The 6,565-nt window shown below is 48.9% G+C and overlaps 1 protein-coding gene across 1 annotated transcript; it reads left to right on the top strand.

Annotated features, from left to right (window-relative positions):
• The first annotated feature begins 847 nt into the window (after positions 1-847).
• Positions 848-2,143, top strand: BECN2 (beclin 2). The gene has a single exon (NM_001290693.1). It carries the CDS (start codon positions 848-850, stop codon positions 2,141-2,143), a length of 1,296 nt encoding a protein of 431 aa, NP_001277622.1.
• The last annotated feature ends 4,422 nt before the right edge of the window (positions 2,144-6,565 follow it).

Here is a 6,565-nt window from a genome sequence, read left to right on the forward strand (position 1 = left end):
TGGCCAGGATGGTCTCAAACTCCTGACTTCAGGTGATCCACCCACTTCGGCCTCCCAAAGTGCTGGGATTACAGGCGTGAGCCACCGCACCCAGCCTGAACTTTTCTTTTTTAAAAAATCTGTGTGTGTGTATGTGTGTGTGTGTGTGTGTGTGTGTGTGTGTGTGTGTGTGTGTGTGTGTAAAAGGGGCATGGGGATGAGAGGGTCGGGGTTGGAGACAGGGTCTCACTCTGTTGCCCAGGCAGGAGTGTAGTGGACCATAGCTCACTGCAACCTCAAGCTCTGAAGCAATCCTCCCACCTCACCCTTTTCAGTAGCTGGGACTGTAAGTGGCCACCCCACCTGGCTAATTTTTTCACTTTTTGTAGTGAAGGGGTCTGCTTATCTAGCCCAGGGTATTCTAGGACTACTGGCCTCGAGCGATCCTTCCGCCTCGGCCTCCCAATGTACCGGGATTACAGGCGTGAGCCAACGCCCTCTGCCAAAGCTGATTGGACTCGATCTTAAGGTTAGATAAGGGTGTTAAACATTTTAAGGAGGGCAGTGCCATGATGAGATTTTAGTTTTAGCAAGATTACGCTTAAGGCGTGCCTTGGACATGGTACAGGAGGAAAAGGAGATGATCAGATTTTCCTTTTGGAAATAATCCCTGGTCTGTAAGGAGCTGAAGGAGGTCTACAGGTACCGAAGGAGGGTACCATTGTAGGGTTTTCAGTAGGACAGTGATAAGATGACATGTGCATTTTAAAAGGATCACTCTTCTAGAAAGACCTGAAAAGGTATAAAATGATAAGTAACTGGGAGCCAGAGGAAACTTAGACTCAAGGCGGCAGTCAGGCCCTTAGCCATGTCTTCCATCCGCTTCCTGTGCCAGCGCTGCCACCAGGCCCTGAAGCTGAGCGGCTCCTCGGAGTCTAGGAGCCTCCCTGCAGCCCCGGCGCCCACCTCTGGGCAGGCTGAGCCCGGAGACACCCGGGAGCCCGGCGTCACCACCAGGGAGGTGACAGACGCTGAGGAGCAACAGGACGGTGCCTCTAGCAGATCCCCTCCAGGCGATGGCAGTGTGTCCAAGGGCCATGCCAACATCTTCACCCTGCTGGGGGAGCTTGGCGCCATGCACATGCTCAGTAGCATCCAGAAGGCAGCTGGTGACATTTTTGACATAGTCTCTGGCCAAGCAGTTGTGGACCATCCCCTGTGTGAAGAATGCACCGACAGTCTTTTAGAGCAGCTGGACATCCAGCTCGCTCTCACAGAAGCTGACAGTCAGAACTACCAACGCTGCCTGGAGACCGGGGAGCTGGCGACCAGCGAGGACGAGGCGGCGGCGCTGCGGGCGGAGCTGCGGGACCTGGAGCTGGAGGAGGCCAGGCTGGTGCAGGAGCTGGAGGATGTGGACAGGAACAATGCAAGAGCAGCGGCGGATCTCCAGGCAGCCCAGGCAGAGGCTGCGGAGCTGGACCAGCAGGAGAGGCAGCACTACAGGGACTACAGTGCCTTGAAGCGGCAGCAGCTGGAACTGCTTGATCAGCTGGGGAACGTGGAGAACCAGCTGCAGTATGCCAGGGTCCAGAGGGACCGGCTGAAGGAAATCAACTGTTTCACCGCCACGTTTGAGATCTGGGTGGAGGGCCCCTTGGGCGTCATCAATAACTTCAGGTTGGGCCGCCTCCCCACTGTCCGTGTGGGCTGGAATGAGATTAACACTGCCTGGGGACAGGCGGCCTTGCTGCTCCTTACCCTGGCCAATACAATTGGACTGCAGTTTCAGAGGTATCGACTCATCCCCTGCGGAAACCATTCGTATCTGAAGTCTTTAACAGATGACCGCACTGAGCTGCCGTTGTTCTGTTATGGGGGGCAGGATGTTTTCCTCAATAACAAGTATGACCGCGCGATGGTGGCCTTCCTGGACTGCATGCAGCAGTTCAAGGAAGAGGCTGAGAAGGGTGAGCTGGGCCTCTCTCTGCCCTACGGGATCCAGGTGGAGACAGGCCTGATGGAGGACGTTGGCGGCCGAGGGGAATGCTATTCCATCAGAACCCATCTGAACACGCAGGAGCTGTGGACAAAGGCACTCAAGTTCATGCTTATAAATTTCAAGTGGAGTCTCATCTGGGTTGCCTCAAGGTATCAAAAGTAGCTTTCTTGAGTCTTGCTCTGTCACCCAGGCTGGAGTGCAGTGGCGCCATCTCAGCTCACTGCAACCTCCGCCTCCTGGGTTCAAGCGATTCTCCTGCCTCAGCCTCCTGAGTAGCTGGGATTACAGGCGCCTGCCATCACACATGGCTAATTTTTGTATTTTTAGTAGAGACGGGGTTTTGCCATGTTGACCAGGCTGGCCTTGAACTCCTGACCTCAGGTGATCCACTCGCCTCACGGCCTCCCAAAATGCTGGGATTATAGGCGTCAGTCACCACACCCGACCTTCTTTTTTTTTTCTTTTCTTTTTTTTTTTGAGGCAGAGTCTCACTCTGTGGCCCAGGCTGGAGTGCTGGAGTGCAGGGGAACAATCTTGGCTCATTGCAACCTCCACCTCCTGGGTTCAGGCAATTCTTCTGCCTCAGCCTGCCGAGTAGCTGGGATTACAGGCACGCACCACCACACCCAGCTAATTTTTGTATTTTTAGTAGAGACGGGGTTTTGCCATGTTGGCCAGGCTGGTCTCAACCTCCTGATCTCAGGTGATCCGCCCGCCTTGGACTCCCAAAGTGCTGGGATTACGGGCATGAGCCACCCCGCCCAGCCCACTTTCTTTTTTTCTAAAGTACTATAAATATATTATCAGATAAGTCTTCCCCAACACACCTTTGTCCCTTCTTCCTTGTAACTTCCACTCCCCTTCTCCACCCGAACATTCAAAATGACAGGAAAAATTAAATTACAAGAGGCTAAGATTATTCCTGCATAAAGGGATAAAGGGACACAGAGGCAAGGACTAAGTGTGGGGAGGAAAGGGCACGGTGAGGAGCAAGGTGGAGGTTTCCAATTTTTTAATTTAAAAACATTTTGGGCCATGGATGTATGTAATGGAACATTGAAGTCGGGGGCAGGGGAGAGAATACTCAAAAATTTCGTTTTTGTTGTGATGCATAGTGTAAGCCCCTCCTCTTCATCCTTGAGAAACTTTCAATAAATTTCGACATGTTCAAAGTGAAAGGTGAGTCTTACTGGACTGTGTCATGATGTTGAGATTAACTGTGAGGTGAGGGGCTGGGGTGGCCAGGAAGTGACTGGTAACATTGGCTGGTAGATAAATTAAGGGGTCTTGAGGTGAACCCTTCCAGAAAGCTGAAGATTGAATCCTAGCACTTTGAGAGGTGGAGGAGGGAGAAATGCTTGAGCCCAGGAGTTCTGAGACCAGCCTGGGCAACATAGGGCGACCCCATCTTAAGGAAAAATTTTTAAATTAATTTAATTTTTTTTTTTTTTGAGACAGAGTTTTGCTCTTGTCTCCCAGGCTGGAGTGCAGTGGTGTGATCTCAGCTCACTGCAACCTCTGCCTCCCAGGTTCAGGCAATTCTCCTGCCTCAGCCTCCCTTGTAGCTGGGATTACAGACATCCACCACCACACCCAGCTAATTTTTTTTTTTTTTTTGAGACAGAATCTCACTCTGTCGCCCAGGCTGGAATGCAGTGGCACAATCTCAGCTCACTGAAACCTCTGCCTTCCAGGTTCACGATTCTCCTGCCTCAGCCTCCCGAGTAGCTGGGATTACAGGTGTATGTCACCATGCCCAGCTAATTTTTGTATTATTTTAGTAGAGACGGGGTTTCACCATGTTGGCCAGGCTGGTCTCGAACTCCTGACCTCAGGTGACAGGCCCGACTTGGCCTCCCAAAATGCTGGGATTACAGGTGTGAGCCACCTCGCCTGGCCTACAAAATATTTTTTAAAAATTAGCCGGGCGTGGTGTGGTGTGCACCTGTAGTCCTAGCTACTCTGGAGGCTGAGGTGGGAGGATCCCTTGAGCCTGGGAGGTCCAGGTTGCGGTGAGCTGTGACTGGGCCACTGCACTCGAGCCTGGGCAACATAGTGAGACCCCATCTCTAAAAAATAAAAAGTAAAATAAGCCAATCAGAGAAAGCTTTTAAAATGCAAATTGTATCATGCCTTCCTCCAGCTTCTCCATTGCCCTCATAAAATCTCAAATCCTGACCACACCTTTCAGCCCCAGAAGATCTGTTCCTGCTGCCTCTCCAGGCCCAGATTATACTTCTCCCAGTTCCTTTCTGTGCCAAAATGTGCCAAGCCTATCACTCCACCTTTGCCTGTGCTCTTCCCTGTGTGTCAATGTCTTCTTTTTTATGTATTTATTTTTTTGAGACGGAGTCTCCCTCTGTCACCCAGGCTTGAGTGCAGTGGCTCAATCTAAACTCACTGCAACCTCCGCCTCCTGGGTTCATGTGGTTCTCCTGCCTCAGCCTCCTGAGTAGCTGAGATTACAGGCGCCTGCACCACGCCCGGCTAATACTTGTATTTTTAGTAGAGACGGGGTTTTGCCATTTTGGCCAGGCTGGTCTTGAACTCCTGACCTCAGGTGATCCGTCCGCCTTGGCCTCCCAAAGTGCTGGGATTACAGGCATGAGCCACTGCACTCGGCCTGTGTGTCAATGTCTTCTAACCAAACTATAAACTACTTCTGGAGGGCTAATTTAACTGTCATGCAGATGTACCTAGAATAACCCCTACATATTAAACATTCTATAATGTGTAAAGTACAAATATTAGATTATAAAATATGCAGTTTCAAAACTCAGAGAAGTATTTAGAAGGAAAATGGGCTGGGCGTGGTGGCTCATGCCTGTAATCCCAGCACTTTGGGAGGCCGAGACAGGCGGATCACGAGGTCAGGAGATCAAGACCATCCTGGCTAATACGGTGAAACCCCGTGTCTACTAAAAACATAAAAAATTAGCCGGGCGTGGTGGCGGGTGCCTGTAGTCTCAGCTACTCAGGAGGCTGAGGCAGGAGAATAGTGTGAACCTGGAGGCGGAGCTTGCAGTGAGCCGAGATTGCGCCACTGCACTCCAGCCTGGGCGACAGAGCAAGACTCTGTCTCAAAAAAAAAAAAGGAAAATGTTCCCAATATGTATTCCTTGGATATACATAAAGGCATTTCCATGAAAATTTTTTACTTAAAAATAAGCCAGGGTTGGGCACAGTGGCTCACACCTGTAATTTCAGCACATTGGGAGGCTGAGGTGGGAGGATTGCTTGAAACCAGGAGTTTGAGAACCCCCTGGGCAATATAGTAAGACCTAGTATCTACAAAAAAATTTAAAATGTTAAAAAATTAGCCAGGAGTGGTAGCATGTGCCTGTAGTCTCAGATATTCTGGAGGCTGAAGTGGGAAAATCGCTTAAGCCCAGGAAGTCAAGGTTACAGTGAGGCGTGAGGGTGCCAGTGCACTCCAGCTGGGAAGACAAATAGAGACCCTGTCTCAAAAAAAAAAAAAAAAAGTCAGGTGAGTTGGCACATGCCTGTAGCCCCAGCTACTTGGGAGGCAGATCACTTGAGACCAAGAATTCAAAGCTGTAGTGGGTAATTAATGTGCCTGTGAATAGCATTATAAAAAACTGTACTCCAGTCTGAGCAACACAGTGAGAACCTGTCTCTAAAAAAATTGAAAAACAAATTGAAGCTTTCTGCCTGAGATTAGGAAAGAGACAGGATACTGGCTATCAGCATTTCTATTTAATCATGTCCTAGACCGGATACTGACTATCAGCATTTCTATTTAATAATCCTAGCTAGTGCAATAAATAAAAAATAAAAAGTATAATAATTAGAGGGGAATAAATAAATTGTTATTTGTATATGACATGATCATATAACAATATCCAAAACATCCAAATAAAATGATTAGAATTAATAGATTAATTCGGGAGGCTGAGGCAGGAGAATGGCATGAACCTGGGAGGCAGAGCTTGCAGTGAGCCGAAATCGAGCCACTGTACTCTAGCCTGGGCAACAGAGCAAGACTCCGTCTCAAAAAAAAAAAAAAAGAATTAATAGATTAATTAAGAAAGATATTGGCTACAATGTTAATATAAGAATCAAATGTATTTCTTTTTTTTTTTTTTCAGCACAGAGTTTTGCTCTTGTTGTCCAGGCTGGAATGCAATGGTGCAATCTCGGCTCACTGAAACCTCCGCCTCCCGGGTTCAAGTGATTCTCCTGCCTTAGCCTCCCAAGTAGCTCGGATTACAGGCACCTGCCATCACGCCCGGCTAATTTTTGTATTTTTAGTAGTGATGGAGTTTCCTCATGTTGGCCAGGCTGGTCTCGAACTCCTGACCTCAGGTGATCCACCCGCCTCAGCCTCCCAAAATGTTGAGCCACCATGCCCAGCCTCAAATGTATTTCTTTATATAAGCAACAACCAGAAAAAAAAATTAAAATAGCTTAAATTATTTATTTGTTTTTATTTATTTATTTCTTTTTTTGAGACAGAGTCTTGCTTTGCCACCCAGGCTGGACTGCAGTGGTGTTATCTCTCAGGTCATTGCAACCTCCGCCTCCCAGGTTCAAGCGATTCTCCTGCCTCAGCCTCCCAAGTAG

Source organism: Homo sapiens, chromosome 1 (assembly GCF_000001405.40).
Source record: "Homo sapiens chromosome 1, GRCh38.p14 Primary Assembly".
Classification (NCBI taxonomy): Eukaryota; Metazoa; Chordata; class Mammalia; order Primates; family Hominidae; genus Homo; species Homo sapiens.